The 19,005-nt window shown below is 43.4% G+C and overlaps 1 long non-coding RNA gene across 6 annotated transcripts in view, besides 1 other annotated feature; it reads right to left on the reverse strand.

Annotated features, from left to right (window-relative positions):
- The window catches only part of LOC105375199 (uncharacterized), a 191,528-nt gene that overhangs the window by 143,298 nt on the left and 29,225 nt on the right, over window positions 1–19,005 (reverse strand). The gene's annotated exons all lie outside the window — the stretch shown is intronic.
- Window positions 18,779–18,949: a silencer, noted in NCBI's record as "fragment chr7:26140958-26141128 (GRCh37/hg19 assembly coordinates)". NCBI's record gives its function as "represses an EF-1alpha promoter that drives an FKBP-Casp9 reporter gene in an ReSE screen in K562 erythroleukemia cells {active_cell/tissue: K562}" and the evidence as "EXISTENCE:reporter gene assay evidence [ECO:0000049][PMID:32094911]".

Below are 19,005 nucleotides of genomic sequence, written 5' to 3' on the forward strand. Positions count from 1 at the left end.
AAAAATTATGTGAAATTCACATCTTACTGCCCATAAGCAAAGTTTTATTGGAACAGAGTCATGCCCATTCTTTTACATGTTGTCTATAGTTGCCTTCTGCTGTAAGATATTTCCACAAAGCCTAAAATATTTACTGCCTGGCCCTTTACAGAAAAAGCATCTGAATCCATGATCTAGATATTGGTTAAGAAGATGTGCTTTGTGGCCAGTGTTCTGGGTGGAAGCTGTGCCACTTAACTCCTCAGGCAAGTCCCTTAATTTCTTCATCTGTAAAATGAGGACAAGTCCTTGTAGAATTAGGGTAAGAACTAAATAAGTGTTTGAATAAATAAATGTTCGGCACAGGGTCTGGTGCATAGTAAGTGTTCAATAAATATTAGCTGTTATTATGTTTTAATGTGATTAGACACTGACGCATAATCTTATTCTTCCACACTTCCCTGTCCCCCATTACAAGTTAGAATAATACATCTTGTTCCTGAATAAGACTGGAAAGTAATCCACTTTGGTATGGCCATGACTACCAAAAGATTTCAGAAAAATATTAAATAGCAAGAGTTGACAATCATTTTGCATCAAGCTCTAACCTCTAGAAGGTCTATTTCCCATGATTTAAGTAAAAGCAAGTACATTATCTTAAAACCACTTTAGCAGAAAAAGTTAATTAGGCAGAGAGTTGATGTGACTCACAATAATTCTGATAAAGTTACATAGGCTCAGGCAACAGGAGCTGAAATGAATCACGGCTTGTAGAGCTCCCTCACTGTGGTGAAAGCAACCAACTGGAAGTTAAGTACCTTGGGTAGAATCTTGTGCTTTGATTCAAGAATTTCCAGTTTTTTAAGCTGCTCATTAGTGTCATCTGAGGCGTCTTTGAGGGATCAAGTTACAGAATAATCACTGGAAGGAACAAAGATTAGAGTGCCTTAAGGGTAAAAAGAGAAAGGGAGGATGATGGAGGGGAAGAAATGAAGGGAAGGGTCAGCTCCTAGCACAGGCGGCGTGGTTATACTGCCCTCAACCAGATGCTGACCTGGCGCAGATCACCAAATGCTACAACATGTGAGAAACACAAGGTAATGATCCTTGTTTTCCAAGCTTCTAGGCTTTGGGTTAAAATAAGAAGGCAAGAAACAGAATTCTAAGTACCTGGGTCAGCCAACAAAATAATAATAGCTACCATCTCATGAATTCATACAATAAATGAGCCAGGCAGTCTGCTAAATAATTTGTGTGCATTACCCAATCCAGTTACATAGGGTTTCTTAGCTCCATTTTACAGATGGGAAATTGAGGATTAGGAAAATCAAATAACTTTCTACAACTTACACAGCTAGTGAGCATAAAAGCTGTAATTTTTTATTTATTTATTTTATTATTATTATTTTTGAGATGGAGTCTTGCTCTGTCGCCTAGCCTGGAGTGAAGTGGGGTGATCTCGGCTCACTGCAACATCTGCCTCCCGGGTTCCAGCGATTATCCTGCTTCAGCCTCCCGAGTAGCTGGGATTACAGGCCCCCGCCACCGCACCCGTCTAATTTTTATATTTTTAGCAAAGATGGGGTTTTGCCATGTTAGCCAAGCTGGTCTAGAACTCCTGACCTCAGGTGATCCGCCCACCTCGGCCTCCCAAAATGCTGGGCTGACAGGCATGAGCCACCACGCCCGGCTGCCAAAAGCTGGAATTTTTAAAATGTAAAGTTTTAAACTAGACAATACATGCACACATTACTAAACTCAAAAGGTCTCTAGTGAAAAATAAGCAAATCTCCTTTTCTCTCTCCATGGAGGAAGTCGCTACTACTAGTTTCTCTTGGATTCATCCAAAGAAATTCCATGCATTAACAAACATGTGTGTACATGTTCTTTCACTCACAAATGGTAGCAAAATACACTGTCCTGTAACTTGTTTCTCCCCCTCAAACTTTAGTAAGATTTTTAAGAGACCTTTCCGCGTCTGCATATGTAAAGCTGAAACTTGATTCCGACTACCCAGCACCAAAACTGTGCTGATAACCATTTTGCTATATCACCTCTGGGCACCCCCAACCTTTTTGCTACATCACCTCTGGACGCCTGTGGGGAGGTTAACAGAAGGCACTGGTGCTAAACTCAGGGTATGAGCTTCAAGGGGGAGTTCTCATTGAGCTGCTGCTCTTCTTAGGGCATGGAGGTAAACCCAAAGAGGGACGAGACCTAGTCCTTCCCCTCCATTCATTTGGAGTTAAGACGCGTAGGCCTAATTTCAGTCATGAAAGCAGAGAGTTGCACAGTACAGTGTCCATGGGGTTCAGGGAAAGAAATCTTGGAAGGTGAGAACTGTTCAGAAAGGAAGTTGGGAAGCCCGGGTGGAAAAGGAATGGCATGAGGAAAGGAAAGCCAGTAGCTGGGGGATGTGTTTGGAGGACCCATGAGGAAGATGTAGCCAGGTCAAGTGGAACCAGCTTTGCAGGCGTCCCTCAAAGACGCTTCAGATGACACTGGGTAGTCTGATTCAAGTTTCAGCTCTACATATGCGGATGCAGAAAGGTCTCTAAAAAATCTTATTAAGGGCCGGGCGTGGTGGCTCATGCTTGTAATCCCAGCACTTTGGGAGGCCGAGATGGGCAAACCACCTGAGGTCAGGAGTTCGAGACCAGCCTGGCCAACATGGTGAAACCCCCATCTCTACTTAAAATAAAATAAAATAAAATAAATCAGCTGGGTGTGGTGGTATGCACCTGTAATCCCAGGTACTCAGGAGGCTGAGGCAGGAGAATTGCTTGAACCCGGGAGGCAGAGGTTGCAGTGAGCCGAGACTGTGCCATTGCACTCCAGACTAGGGGACAAGAACGAGACTTCGTCTCAAAAAAAAAAAAAAAAAATCTTATTAAGGGTTGAAGGAGCCATGGTGTGACCACACACTGTTGGTTGTGGAATATATTACAAGTACTTTGCTACAAATAGCAGAAAGATTCTCAGGTTTTTGTCCACTTTTAAAATGTTAAGGGTGGCTCTGCTGCTATTAGGGAAGTAGGTCACAGCTACAGGTATTTTCAGAGGGTTTGTGTCTCGCCCACCCCCCAGGGCCAGTGGGGAGGTTAGAAAATCCACTTGAAACGCTTTCAACTACTCTTCCAGGGGCTGAGAACCCCCACCCTGTCCCAGGCATTCTGAAAGTGTATGAGACGGGAAGCAGCATATTTTGAAAATAATTCCACATCTACTTCTAAAAAGTCTACCCTAATGTCACCCTTCTTCACTAGCAGAGAGGTGTGCTTTCCAGAGTGGACAAGAAAGTATATTATCAGCTGGATTCTATAGATGGATTAGGAAGATGCTGTATGGTAAACGCACCTGAGAGCAATAACTTCAGCATACCCTGAGGATGGCCCTGTATTGCAGACGCACCTGAATGTGTGCTCTGAACTAGGGAATCCGGGCGTGGCCAAGCCAGAGATTCATTCCTTGTCTTTGAGGAACATCTGAGCCTTCAGCCTCTCCCATGGAACACTGGCTGTGCAGGGACTGAAGCCCTGAGTTTGGGGTTAGATGAAGGTTGCCAGGTGGAGGTCCTCGGGGGTAGGGTGTTGAGTGAAATGGTATATACGCTACAAGCTGTTTGCAAGCGGCAGTGGTTTTCCTGCACAGCCCGCTGCCACTGGACTCTCTCCCCTGTATGTAATCCCTTAATAAAACCCCGTGTCTCATTTGCTGGCTCTGGGTCTCTTCTTTGGCCTCTTGAGCCTGGTGCCTTCCCTACTGAGGTTAATAGGGGTTTGGCACAACAATGGAAGACCCTGAAGTCATTTGAAAATGATGAGGGGTAGACCTACAGCTTCCATCACATTCTCTACAGAGACTCTAGATTTGGATTTTGCACCTAAAGACTGTCTTCTTGATGAAATAGAAAATGTCAAAGCACAAACATATGATGGATATATTTGTTCACTGGGCATATATATTTATTTATTGAGGCGGAGTCTCGCTGTCACCCAGGCTGGAGTGCAGTGGTGTGATTTCAGCTCACTGCAACCTCTGCCTTGGGTTCAAGCAATTCTCCTACCTCAGCCTCCTGAGTAGTTGGGATTACAGGCATGTGCCACCATACCCAGCTAATTTTTTTGTATTTTTAGTAGAGATGGGGTTTCATCATGTTGGCCAAACTGGTCTCAAACTCCTGACCTCAAGTGATCCGCCTGCCTCGGCCTCCCAAAGTGCTGGGATTACAAGCGTGAGCCACCGTGCCTGGCCACTGGGCATATTTATGTGTGTGTGTGTGTGTGTGTGTGTGTGTGTGTGTGTGTGTGTGTGTGTATCTGTATATAGCTCAAGTCTCAGAGTAAAATGGAATTCTTAAACTAAGTCATGGTCCAGAAAGTTTTAAATCTGCTGCTCTAGAATATGTTACTCCCCAGAATATAGCAATCTAGTCCTGAAAAATCCAAGCGACTAGATCATGCCCAGGTTTGCAAATCACATATTCAAGGGAAACTGAACTTCATTCAGGAAGCCACACATGACGAAGGCTGACAATTGAAGGGAAAGGAGCCATTGGCGACTGAGGCCACTGAGGGAGTGCATGGGAACACCAGGCTTCAGGACTGAGCAACTGGGAGCAGGCACTGGCAACCCAGGCTAGACAAGCCAGAGCTAAATGGCATCTGCTGCCTCTTTCTGTGAAGCTGCTGTTCTGAGCCAACAGTCAATGGGGCCTCATCTAGCTCACGGGCAGCTGTAGTTGATTTGAGTTTGACACAGGTGGGCCAGCCTCTCCGGGCCTCCGACTTCAGTATGCTGGATACTTCACCTGGATACTTGTCAAACATCTGGGTTCCTGGTCCTGGCTCCAGAAATTCTGACTCAGTTGGGAAGGGGAGAGAAGGAGATGGTAGAGTTCACAACCAACCCACACTTGGAAATCACTGGAAAAAAACAAAGCATTCCATTTCCCTGATGGCAACTAGGGCAGTTTCCATCTCTCAGCAAGTATGTATTAGGCAAGCATATGGGACTAGGAGTGTGCTAGGCGCTGCCAGGAATGTTTTGGATTTTTTAAAAATATATCTTAGGGCCTTCTGTTAAGGAGCATATAAGTGAGCTGTGTGATATGCTTGCATGTGTGTAATTTAATTACGAAAGGGCAGGAAAATAGGGAAATAAAAGGGGGAGATGACAAATAGATAAAGGTACACACGTCCCTTTTTCTCTCATAACGTTTGGGGAGCAAAATCATGTTCTCTTCTATTCATCTAAAATAACAAAAAGGGTAGTGATGTGAATGAGGCCAGGGAGTTCCTCAGAGGCCCTTCCTTAAACAGAAGGTGATTAACTAATAGTCACAGAACAAGCATGTGGAGTGCAGGTCCAGACAAGCAGATCCCATATCCAGGCCTGCTGGGAACAAGAACAGAGAGAGGACCCATCTCTGCCTGGCTAATGTGTGACTTAAAGCATCGTTAGTTCTTTTGACAAATATTAAGATGGAGAACTGAACTTCAGCGCTCATTATGCAGCAGAGATTAAAGCCCAGATGTGGTCAATTATGTGCTCAAGGCCACACAGATGGAGCCAAGACTTGAACTTAAAGCCCCTTTGATGACCATATTTGACCTACACTGTTTTTTCAAGATATGAATAGCTAGCTGGCCACATATACAAAAATAAACAAAGCTAAGACCAGCACCTACAGTACAGTATTACCTGGAACATGGTAGGCACTCAATAAATATTTGTCAGATGAATTAATGTGCCATTTAAAAGATACACAATATTGGGTCAGACGGCTGTGAAAGCCTTCGTCCAGCACCTGATGGCTTCCCCACAAACATGCCTAATAATCAAACAAGCTGCACTGATCCCTTTTTTATGTTCCCAGAACAATAATAATAGCTAACACTGTTAAACACTTACTAGGGGCCAGACACTTGCTTTACACATGTTGACTTAATCTTTATAACAATCCTATGAAACAGGAACTATGATCATCACCATTTCACAGAAGAGGAAACTGAGGCACAGAGAGGTTAAAGCAGCACAGAGCCTTACTTCACAATGCTTATAAGAAAAATTCTAGGACAATTAAATTCTAACTGATGGGTGCAGCATGGGATTTATTATCCAAATAGGAATTTGGTTGTATTAAAGCAATAGGAATTAGCCTGTGGGAAAAATCATCCTAGGCTGTAGAATTAGAGAAAAGGTCACAGTGGAGGTGGGATTTAAGCTACTTCTGAAGATAGAGGCCAGACTGAAGGATAAGGGAAACGGCATAAACAAAGGCCTGGGGCCAAAATATAGAAGGTGTGCCCAGAGACCTTCTGCCTGGAATGGAAACTGTGCCTCAGGGATTAGCAAGACGTAAATTTGGATACTGTGGGGTAGAGTCGGAGTACAGAGGACTTAGACACAGGCTAGGGAGCTTGGTTGGTTGTTTAAGAAGCCTGTCTGGTTTCTTGACTAGGAAATAGCCCAACAAGAAGTGAACTTAAGGGGCATTAGCTTGGCCAACAGCCTGTAAGAACAGTGGGAGAGGGCAGCGGCTTGAAGGCCTGGAGACCAATATGGCAGAGGCTGCATTAATCCAGGCCTGGAGACAACAGAAATGGAGAAAAGACACAGCTGTGAGAATATGTTATTAAAAATTCAGTAGCCATGCTGAGTACCTCCTCTGGGCCAGGCCAGTTGGGGCTATGAGCTCACTAGTTGGGGCTATGAGGTAAGTGTACCTACAAGGTAACCTCGAGACCAAGCCTGTGAGCTTACCTCGCTGCATCCTCACCGCAAACCTGGGAGAAGGGGTGTTATTGTCCCCATCCTAAAGAAAAGAAAACCAAGGCCCCAACTTCACCCACCTATGCTTCCAATGACATAAACAGGCTCTGGCAATGCATTGGATGCCTCAATTTCTTATCAAGAATAGCTCCTTTTTGCTTCTTCAAAGCCATTTGAGGTCAGGGAGGTAGTTGGAGGTTGATATGGTTTGGCTGTGTCCCCACCCAAATCTCAACTTGAATTGTTTCTCCCAGAATTCCCACGTGTTGTGGGAGGGACCCAGGGGGAAGTAACTGAATCATGGGGGCTGGTCTTTCCTGTGCTGTTCTTGTGATAGTGAGTAAGTCTCATGAGATCTGATGGGTTTATCAGGGTTTCCGCTTTGGCTTCTTCCTCATTTTTCTCTTGCTGCCACCACGTAAAAAGTGACTTTCACCTCCACCACGATTCTGAGGCCTCCCCAGCCATGTGGAACTATAAGCACAATTAAACCTCTTTTTATTCCCAGTTTCAGGTGTGCCTTTATCAGCAGCGCAAAAACGAACTGATATAGAGGTGATGAATTCTGTTTGGTGTTTATTGTGTCTGAGCTAACAGAAGGACACGCTGGTTCAGGGAGTTGAGAATCCTAGCCAGCATTCTCACAGCATCATCTCTGAGATTAGAGGAGCCTGCCCAACTGAGAGATAGTGACTGTGGCTAGGAAGGCTCTGTGAGAAGGGAAGAAACTGGCCCTTATCGACCATCCTTGACCTTTGCATCTCAAATCTCATTTAATCCATATAAAATGGGTATTGCTTAGGCCCTTTGAAAGCTAACATGCTGGGCCGGGCACGGTGGCTCACGCCTGTAATCCCAGCACTTTGGGAGGCCGAGGCAGATCAGTTACCTGAGGTCAGGAGTTTGAGACCAGCCTGACCAACATGGCAAAACCCTGTCTCTACTGAAAATACAAAAATTAGCTGGGTGTTCCCCGTCTCTACTAAAAATACAAAAATTAGCCGGGCGTGGTGGCGCGCGCCTGTAGTCCCAGCTACACGGGAGGCTGAGGCAGGAGAATGGCGTGAACCCGAGAGGCGGAGCTTGCAGTGAGTCGAGATCGCACCACTGCACTCCAGCCTGGGCGACAGAGCGAAACTCCATCTCAAAAAAAAAAAAAAAAAAAATTAGCTGGGTGTTGTGGTGGGTGCCTGTAATCCCAGCTACTCGAGAGGCTGAGGCAGGAGAATCAGTTGAACCCGGGAGGCAGAGGTTGCAGTGAGCCGAGATTGTACCATTGCACTGCAGCCTGGGTGACAAAGCGAGACTCCATCTCAAGAAAAAAAAAAAATAACATGCTGAGCATTAAGTAGCTAGCCCACAGAGAAACTGGGCTAGACCCCAGCCAGACACTTCCTACCCGAGAAGCCATACACAGCAGGGTGCGGTTTGGCTCGTCTAGGAATAAGTGAGCCCTTCTCACGGAACTGCTCTTGAGTTGAGGGCCCTTTTGCCACAAGCTGTGGGTTGAAAGGTGTAGGCAAAAGTTCACCTTTTAATCCACAGCTTGGTGATCCTTTTCTGAAAGAATTCTGGCTCTTCAATGCAGGTATAGTCAAGAAAAGAAAGTAGTCAAGAAAAGTCTTACCAAAGCAACATAGCTTAGTAAATTGCATATGTACATTTTCTTCTCTTTTATGAACATTCTTATTCCATGATTAGACAACAGCTCTTTAAAAATCGAGACAGCAAAAACGGTGACAGATTTGTCCCTGTCTTGCAAATACGACCCTTTCAGGGGTCTTTGTAAGTTGTGGAAAAGTAAGTCTGCCAATCCACCAGCAGATGTCTCTGTTTTGCCTAAATGAATAGGGCTCCCTCTGTTCTCAGCCACTCCATTTCAGATCCAATTAAACAAAACCCTTTCTCCGATTGTCCCCAGAGATCCCAACATGCTTAAAAGCAAAGAATTTTCTTCCTCCTTAATTTTTAAAATGGAGAAATGTAATGGAATAGTTTCTCATTCTCCTAAAAATCAGCATTCAAGTCTCATATACCCATTTCTTGTAAATCTTATAAAACCAAGCTTATACTGGTAGTTGCCAGGGGCTGGAGGAAGAAAGGAATGGAGAGTTATTATTTAATGGATACGGAGTTTCCGTTTTATAAGATGAAAAGAGTAGAGATTGATGGTGGTGACAGTTGCACAATATTATAAATGTATTTACTACCACTAACCGTACACTAGAAATGGATAAGATGGTAAATTTTACGTTTGTGTATTTTATCACAATAAAAAAAAATTGAGGGAGAAAAAAGCCAACCTTATACCAAAGAATATATTACCCTCAACTTTAGTCCTTACTGTAAATTCCACTCATGAATTGGCAAAATTAGCTTAAGGAAAGTAGATTTCGATAAAAGTTTAAATTCTGTGCTCTCAAAGTAAAAGTTTATTAGTGGACCACCTTTTGTGAATAAATAAGTCCATCTTGAGTGGAGATGGAACATCTCCTTTTGGAAGATTTTGTGATAGAAGAGATGCTGAAAAAGAATTTAACCTCGTGATGGAAGTCATTTTTCATTTAAAGTATCTCTACCGTGTATGATCCAGAGGCTCTGTTACTTTCTTCCTGTTATGCCTTTTCCCCTCAATAACTCTAAATTTAAAAATTAAGTAGAAAATACTAATTAATATTTGCTGAGTTTTTTTCTCCCTAAGCAAATTAGAGCCCCGTTTTCAGTCAATCCATGTGACCCTTGAGAAATGCCTCCCCTGTGTCAAAGCATGCCTGGTCCTGTAGGAACCCTTTTCAGCCAGCAGGACCCTCAGGAGACAGGGAAACCTTCTTGTCTAGAACCTCCAAACAGGAAGTGCCAAAAACTAAAACCTTGCCCGAGGCAAAGTGTTCTTGTCAAGATTCAGGTTTCTATGGCCACACCTTTTTACATCCTGACCACTAAGCCAAACTCATCGATTTCTATTTCACACTCAAAAACACACGTACACATGAAAAGGAGCACTTTAGGAATAGACTGACCCTAAGAGAAATAAAACCTCAAGAACTTCCAGTAAATTTATTCAGAAGATCTCAATATTGCACTTAAAATTCTATTTCAGTTCAACGAATCAACTTACATTGAAAAATGCATTTTCAAATGGAGGGCACATTAGGGATCTCAGCCCAAACATAGCTTGGGTGTTTTTCCAGCTGAATGTTGGCCTGACTCTCATACTAACCTCTCCTGTGTATGAGAGAGAGCATCAGCCTTGATGCAGCATTGATCCAATTCTCCTGTGCTAAGCATGTCTCGATTTCACGTAATCACTGTATATCACTTTCCTTTGTATTCAGGGTAGAAGCTGCCATCGGTGTTATTTCCTTGCATAACCCCCTGTTCTAGCTCGAACTGTACTAATGAGTGACCAGAATTTACTGCCACGTTGGACAACAGGGCCAGCTATGCTTTAAATGTTTCTTTTCACCGAAATAACCAGAACGTGTCAATCAGCTAATATTATGCCACCAGTGGCATCTCATTAAAACCTCTTTTTTATTTTTAGCTAGATTCTGTCAGGTGAACACCATCCAACTATTCAAATGTTGCTCCCCTTACAGAAGCTTTCAGAGGAATTTGGAGCTGAAGTTGCCAGCAACAGAGAGGGCCACAGCTAACGCGATAGAGCTGCTCACAGTGTTAGACCAGGCCTATGAAAACTTTGCACCGCAGATCCTCCCCAGGTGTAATCTAGGTGGGAGAAAGGCCTTCTAGCTCTGTAGTTGTCCTATCAAAAAACAAAAGTTTCTCCATGGAAAGCTCCACTTGTGGCCAAAGAGAAGAGGAATTGGAGACCTGGCAGGGAGGAGCTGTCAGAGCCCAGGGGGAGAGTGTGAAGCCATGGTCCTGGTGGCCAGACAGGCCTGCTTAGAGCCTGGCTCTGTCACCTGTTACTATGTGGCCTTCAACAAGTCACTTAAACTCTTAGATCTCAGTTTCTTCATTTATCAAATGGCAAAAACAAAATCCATCATGCTGGTATAATGGGGATACTTTTCTACAAATAGTAAATGCATGCATTTTTTACTAAATATCTTGTATATATATGTGTATACAAATTATAAACTAACTATAGATTTTCACAGCAAACATACCCAGATTAAGAAACAATGTAACCAGCACCTCATTCCCTCCTAAGAGTAACACATCCTGACACTTAACAAGATAGACTAGTTTTGCCTCATTTTGAACTTGATCTAAATGGAATCTTACAGTATGTACTCCTTGTGTCTGGCTTTTTTTATCCAGCATGATATTTTCTCTAAGAAATATCCGTGTTGTTGTGAGAAGCAATAGATTATTCCTACTCATTGTTATACAATATTCCATTGTATGTCTTTTAAAAAATATATACCATTGTATATGTATATATATATACATTCCATTGTATGTTTTTTTAAAAATATATACCATGGTATATGTATATATATTCCATTGTATGTTTTTTTAAAAGTCTATTTAAACAATATTCCCTTCAGTCTACTTCCTCCAAGGCCAAGTACTGTGTTTTTTTGTTTTGTTGTGTGTATGTGTGGGTGTGTTGTTTGTTTGTTTGTTTTTGGAGTCTTGCTCTGTCGCCCAGGCTGGAGTGCAGTGGCACGATCTCGGGTCACTGCCACCTCTGCTTCCCAGGTTCAAGCCACTGCATTCCAGCCTGGGAGACAGAGTGACACTCCATCTCAAAAAAAAAAAAGGTAGATATTACTATGAGAGTTATTACCTTACCATCATCATTGTTACGACTACAATAACTCAGATAACCCAAAGCAGCTCTGTTCTCTTGGGCATATTAGGAGAGCACCTCCCAACATATTCTTAGGAGGATCTGTAGTTGCTTCCCCTAAAGGAGCAATTAAAGATGGCTGTGCTGATCCTACAGTTCTCCCCAGACCCCCTCTTCACCATTCCCCTGTCCTTCTCTGCCTTTCCTCCTCCACCTTTCTTTACCCATTCCCCCCAACTCCTCGCCTCAAAGCATCTTGGCTGTTTTCTTCTGGGAAATGTGGTAGTCTACAGCGAGACCACCTCAATTAAAGAAGAAACCAGAGGGCCTCCAAGAAAGGGGAGCCAAATGAAACGCTCTTTCCAAAAGCATGTATGTCTGTATGATCACAGCGGCTTCCAAAACACCCAAAACTGAAGAAAAAGTGATGCTTAAATTATGTTTGAGCGTTGATGATACCTGAAACTCAGAAAATCTTTAATCTTCCACAGCAAAAAATGAGCTTACTATGTATACTTGCTTAAAGTCCTCGCATATGTAGACTGATTATCCAACCTCCCTCTCGTTTCCATCATTGAGTATCATGAATTTGTATTTGAATTCCTTCTCTTTGTCTAAACTTTGAAGGTCACCATGTTTCTATTCCCCGTCCCATATCACCACCAACTTTTGCTGGATGCAGTATTGTTCACATCAGTAGATCTAAAATATTATCTATTATTATAACCCTCTTAAAGACACCTATACTCCTGTGCCCAGGGTTGCTGAGTATTCAGGATTCTCCATTACAATCTTAATCTTGACTTTCTCTTTCATCGTTCCTATAAATTAACTTATAATTTTTCACACTAGGTGTCCCAATTTGGGGTTCTGAAAATATGGTCTATGTGTCTTTCTATTCTCATTTCAAAAGAGGCCAGAGCAATTTTTCAATATCTTACATACAAAGAGAAAAGGAATGTTTAGGGAAAGATTTCCAGGACCTCATAACAGTTCCCCACTGTTCTCTAAGATGGTTGTTAAAAAGCTCACTTTGTGAACCCAGGTGGCCAGAAAATCAAATCAAGAAACTAGAGTATTGTATTCGCCAAGCTGTTACACTAGAGCAGACTGAGCAACTTGGCTCAGCAGGCCATGGGCATCATTCCTCCTTGGTGGCTCCTCTGGAAGTCGTGGACTCTTGCTCCACCTCGCTTTTCTTCTCCATCAAATGGGACTAACGAGGACATTGTGAAACATAATTGCTGTTTATGGAGAGCCTCGGCATCTGAGATGAAAGGCATTTGAACCAGGTAAAGCTTGTTCAAGATGAGTTAATGCTTTGATTAGTGGAGTTCAAGGAAGAAAAGTATACCCCATGTCATCTGAGAATGATCCTGCTGGCTGGGAGAAGCAAGGTTTCACTTTACAGAGGACTTGTGGGGATTTTTTTGTTCTCTTTTAAATGGTGTTCACAATGCTGGAATTTCTTTCCATGCTTGACGTTAGAGGAAATCCTCGAACATGAAGGAAAATCTAACTCATTAGAACCTGGCGACATTCAAATCATTTTTTCCATATAGCCAAGCACATAGTAAGTGCTCAGTAAAGATTTATTCCATGGCCCAATAAATTATTTGCTCAAATCTGGCCCAATGTCCAGAAACAGGTCCAAAGATTGACATAGCTGGGCGCGCTGGCCACACCTGTAATCCCAGCATTTTGGGAAGCCCAGGCGGGCAGATCATGAGGTCAAGAGATCGAGACAATCCTGGCCAACATGGTGAAACCCCGTCTCTACCAAAAATACAAAAATTAGCTGGGCCTGATGGTGTGCGCCTGTAGTCCCAGCTACTCGGGAGGCTGAGGCAGGAGAATTGCTTGAACCCAGGAGGCAGAGGTTCTAGTGAGCCGAAATCACATCGCTGCACTCCAGCCTGGGTGACAGAGCAAGACTGCATCTCAAAAAAAAAAAAAAAAGAAAGAAAAAGATTGACATAACACTTTCATATCAAAAAAAGATGAAGAATCCAATGAAACACATGACATGATGATTTTGAGTTATGAAAAATATTCATGCTCCATTAAGAATCATATAGAAAGCCACTCACATATTTCCACAGGCTATGCATGCAAACAACAGCAAACTGACACACAGTTCAAGTTATTTGCAGTATTGCGTCCATAGAGAGAGAAACTCTAAAGTTCTGTGACAGATTTTTAAACAAAACATCAGAACTTACACATCCTCATTAGTACAAACCTCAGGAGGCTACATCTTTATTCCAACAATGATATCATTGTTCAACGCATTTTAAAATTCCTCTTTAGAAACACTACACAGAGCCAGCGGCCTGTTCTTTTTAATATCTGCTGTAGTGGCAAATCTTCATATTTGGAGGGTAAATTTGATTCTTGTAGATAACAAAAGGGCATTAGGAATTGGTTGGTGATTGAGAATCCTAGATTATAAACCAAAAGGGAAATGTGATTGCCATGTAATAAGAATTTATTTTCTTACATGGCTTTTTACACTGGCTCTAAAAGCAAATCCAGAGAAATAGTTCCAGAAATGATTTTTGAGGGTTGATTTAGTAAATCTATCCACTCCACAGAAGGGACAAAACAAGCAAGAAGAACGCATCATAAGCATCATTACATCTAACATCTGTACATTAGGGTCTGCATTTACAATGTATCTAGCATAATAGTGCCTCATTTACGTTCGCATCTGCCCCCACCTTGGCCTGACCCATGGTTCAAATAACCTCAAAGGTATCTACAAAATACAATACTGAGGGCCGGGCATGGTGGCTCACACCTGTAATCCCAGCATTTTGGGAAACCAGCCTGGCCAACATGGTGAAACTCCCTCTCTACTAAAAATACAAAAATTAGCCAGGCATGGTGGTGCACACCTGTAATCCCAGCCATTCAGGAGGCTGAGGCAGAGAAAATGCTTGAACCTACAAGGCAGAGTTTGCAATGAGCCAAGATTGTGCCACTGCACTCCAACATGGACAACAGAGCAAGACTTTGTCTCAAAAAAAAAAAATACAGTTTTTTTGTAGCCCTCTATAATTGATATATTTTTAAATAGTCAATAATAAAAATGTATCAATACTCCTCTATTGTATCAGGAACAGAGAAGTCATCTTTCAACTAGGTGACATTGTAGTGAGTGAAACCTCCTCATCATATACAAAGGCTAAACCAGCAGAGCAAAGGAGGAAAACAGGAAGTGAAAAGGCCACGAGAAATGTGAGATCTTAAATCCAAATCAAATATCTTTGTTCTTTGTTGTTACCCTTAGAGTCATTTCTTTTTTTTTTTTTTTTTTTTTTGAGACAGAGTCTTGCTCTGTCACCCAGGCTGGAGTGCAATGGTGCGATCTCAGCTCACTGCAACCTCTGCCTCCCAGGTTCAGGCAATTCTCCTGCCTCAGCCTCCCGAGTAGCTGGGATTACAGGCACCTGCCACCACACCCAGCTAATTGTTGTATTTTTTAGTGGAGATGGGGTTTCATCATGTTGGCCAGGCTGGTCTCCAACTCCTGACCTCGTGATCCACCCACCTCAGCCTCCTAAAGTGCTGGGATTACAGACGTGAGCCACCGTGCCTGGCTGAGTCATCATTTCTTAACATTTCTTACAACCAGTCCTTTTCACTAGACTCATTCATTGCATCAGAATATCTACAACCTTGGGCAAGTTACTGAACCTGGGTAGGGGAAGAGGGAGAATATCTACAACCTTGGGGTTGAGAGGAGGAGGGAGAATATCTACAACCTATTAAGACAACCAGAAGCAACCACAAGGATTCCTAGGCCAATACTTCTAAGCCAATTCTGGAAAATATCGTAGAGAAGGGTCGAAGTGGGGTTTTCTGGTAGCACAGGGAATAGTGGTACACACAGGAAAGAGTCTATGTCACTGGGTTTGTATTGTCTTGCAGAGATAATTCATTCCCCAGTGGTTGTCAAAATAACATACCAAGGATCAAAATCATAGCTGTTTGTGCCTGTGGCTGTTTGCACATGGAGGTCAAATGGTGTTCCCTCATTTACCATGGGTAGTAGGGCATAAATGTCCTCTAACTGTCCCAGTTTGCATGGAACTGTCACGGTTTCAGCACTGGCAGCCCCACGTCCCAGGAAACTGCTCAGTTCAAGGCAAACCAGAACAAACCATTGGTCAGAGGAAAAGGAAGCCCACATGAGGCCATAAGATATATTTCAGCTGCCCATCGAGAATGGAAGCCAGCAATCCTGACATCAGCCATTAGGTCATTTTGTTCTACCTGGCTGGTGTTCACCTCCAAGAACTTTCCCAAGCTTGTGACCCAACATGGTAAGAGAAGAAAATGACAGTAAGCTCTGGGCCCCCACTGTGGTGTGAAGCTTGAGCTATGCCACACTGCCTTCCTGGGCCTCAGAGATATAATGCGTAGGTGAGGAGCTGCACCAAATCAGTGTTTTCAAACTCCAGACAACAGTTTGATTTTCATGGGCCAGGAAATCAATGTAGTGGCTTGCAAACAGCATTTTAAAATAATAGAATAAAATGGAATATGTGAGAGGGCATTGCACGTGGCAAGGAAATATTGTTTGTAAAATATGTTTCAGCTACATATCTATGTCCATGTGTACTGGGTCTCAGTGTAAAATCTAGTGCTTAGTGTGGGTTGCAAAGTCCATACATGGAACAATCTCCAAACTTTCTACCAGCTCCAGAATTTTGTATCCTACAGAAGTCATCCTAATAATTTCTTCTCTTATACGTGTCATGAGATTTGGTAACTAGAGTGCGTGGGACTTCCTTCACTGGGCATTGGGTTATATTATTTTTATAAATTGTTTTTCTCTTTTATTATTGTAAGGAAAAGTTGTCCTTCACCTATTTATAGCACCCAGCACGGAGTCTTACAGTTAGGTCACTGTCAATAAATGGTTCTTATCTCTTTTTTTTTTTTTTTTTTTGAGACAGTCTCACTTGTCACTCAGGCTGGAGTGCTGTGGAACAATTACAGCTCTCTGCAGCCTCGACCTCCCAGGCTAAATCAATGTGCCTGCCTCAGCCTCCCAAGTAGCTGGGACTACAGGTGTGTGCCACCATGCCCAGCTAATAATTTTTATTTTTTGTAGAGACAGGGTCTCCCTATGTTGCCCAGGCTGGTCTCAAACTCCTGGCCTCAAGCGATCCTCCTGCCTCAGCCTTCCAAAGTGCTAGGATTACAGGCATGAGCCAAATGCCCAGCCAAGAAATGTGTCTTATATTCCAACATACCAACAAGAACACACTCAAACATCATCATTGGTGCCATCTTCCAGCTCCAGCAAAAGCAGAAGTCCCAGGGCTGGATGGTTGTCTCAGACAGCAAGAGCATGGGCTCTTGAACAATTTTGCCTTTCAACTGGAGAGAACTCGGCCCAGTAAAGGCCACAGTGATGCAACAGCAGCCACTGCAGACGCAAGTCTGACCCTGAGGTAAGATGCTGTTTCAGCCAGGTGCGATGGCTCAGGCCTGTAATCCCAGCACTTCGGGAGGCTGAGGTGGGCGGATCACAAGGTCAGGAGTTCGAGACCAGCCTGACTAATATGGTGAAACCCCATCTCTACTAAAAAATACAAAAAAAATTAGCTGGGCATGATGGTGCGTGCCTGTAGTCCCAGCTACTCAGGAGGCTGAGGTAGGAGAATCGCTTGAACCCGGGAGGCAGAGGTTGCAGTGAGCTGAGGTCGCACCACTGCACTCCAGCCTGGGCTACAGAGTGAGACTCTGTCTCAAAAAAAAAAAGAAAAAAGAAAAAGAAAAAAAAAGACTCTTTTCAAGAACAACCTGGTTCAACTGCTGAAGAGATGAACACACAAGGGAAAAGCAAAGGAGAAAAAAGAAGGAAAAGATAGATCTAGAATGAAAAACAGGTACGCACTAATCACACACCAATGATGACTTCCTGTTTTTGTTTTTGTTTTTGAGACTGAGTCTCACTCTGTCACCCAGGCTGGAGTGCAGTGGCACAATCTCAGCTCACTTCAACCTCTGCCTCCCGGGTTCAAGTGATTCTCCTGCCTCAGCCTCCTGAGTAGCTGGAACTACAGGCACGTACCACCATGCCTGGCTAATTTTTGTATTTTTAGTAGAAACAGGGTTTCACCATATTGGCCAGACTGGTCTTGAACTCCTGACCTCGTGATCCACCTGCCTTGGCCTCCCAAAGTGCTGGGATTACAGGCATGAGCCACTGCACCCGGCTAATGACTTCTAGGAGGGTGAAATATGACAGGCACTGCCTGTGCATTGACAGGAAGTATGATTTTATGGATTGTCACTCTATAATGGCAGGGTATAGAAAGAATAAAGGTTAGCAATTTTTACATAACAAATCTATTAGGGAACCCTTTTGTTTTCTACTCTGCCCCGCCACCAAAAGTTATGCAGGAATTTCCATATAATCAGGACTTCAACTAAAAATTTCTGCATCCTGAAAAGGAAAAATGTCATTTCCTCTTAAATCACACTTATTTCCATGGGTAATTCTGAAGTTTGTTAAAAGGACAGAAATGGAGAAGGTTCATATTTATGGTTCCCAGTCTTTTAAAAAATTAGGAAGTGAAATTGCTTCTCCAAAATATAAGAACAGATCAGAAATTAAAACTTAAGAGGCCCACTGCAGTGGTTCACGCCTGTAATCCCCGCACTTTGGGAGGTGGAGGCGGGAGGATCACTTGAGTCCAGGAGTTCAACACCAGCCTGGGCAATATAGTGAGACCCCCCTCCCCCCACCCGCAATCTCTTCAAAATGACATTTAAAATGTATTTTTAAAATTAAGACATTAAAACTTAACTTTTTACAAGCATAAAATTAGGCCACATCACGAGCATGGCTGGCCATGGGATGGGCTCATGCCCAAATGAGGGTGCCCAAGCCCCTGGGGCCACATCCCACACAGGGGAGGAAACTCCATCCCAGTAAGAGAAATGACGTGATATGGACTTTGCTGGCAGGGGCGAGGGGTCGTCCAGGCGGGTGCGGAGGGACACAGTGTGTGGAGACAGGCAGTTGAGCTGTTCTAGCCAGGACCTGCCGCCTTTGAAAAACAAGACCTAAGGAAACGACCACAGGCTCAGAATCCCAGGCTAAGCTAAACAGCTCGATCTCAGGAAAGAGGAACTGATGCAGTTGAGAACCGGCCGTTCTCTTTTCTGCTGTCTGTACTTTTTATTATGTTCCTTTAAACTACTTGTTACGGGAACTTAATTTTTAACAACTATGTAATAAATCCAACAAAACTATGAAACTAACACCTAAGTTCCTCATGCTTTTTCAGTACCCATCGCTGGACTCCAAATTTCCAAATTCCCAATGAAGGAACCAGCTCCTGTCTCCCAGCAACACACGCCGCTAGCCTGACCAGGGCGGAATGTTTTGGGGTCAAACTTATCCAATCAGCCGAGGGTAGGGAGAGAAATGGTGCCCCAGGGACCCAGCGTGGCTGCTTAGACAGCGG

Source organism: Homo sapiens, chromosome 7 (genome assembly GCF_000001405.40).
Source record: "Homo sapiens chromosome 7, GRCh38.p14 Primary Assembly".
In the NCBI taxonomy this organism is placed as follows: Eukaryota; Metazoa; Chordata; class Mammalia; order Primates; family Hominidae; genus Homo; species Homo sapiens.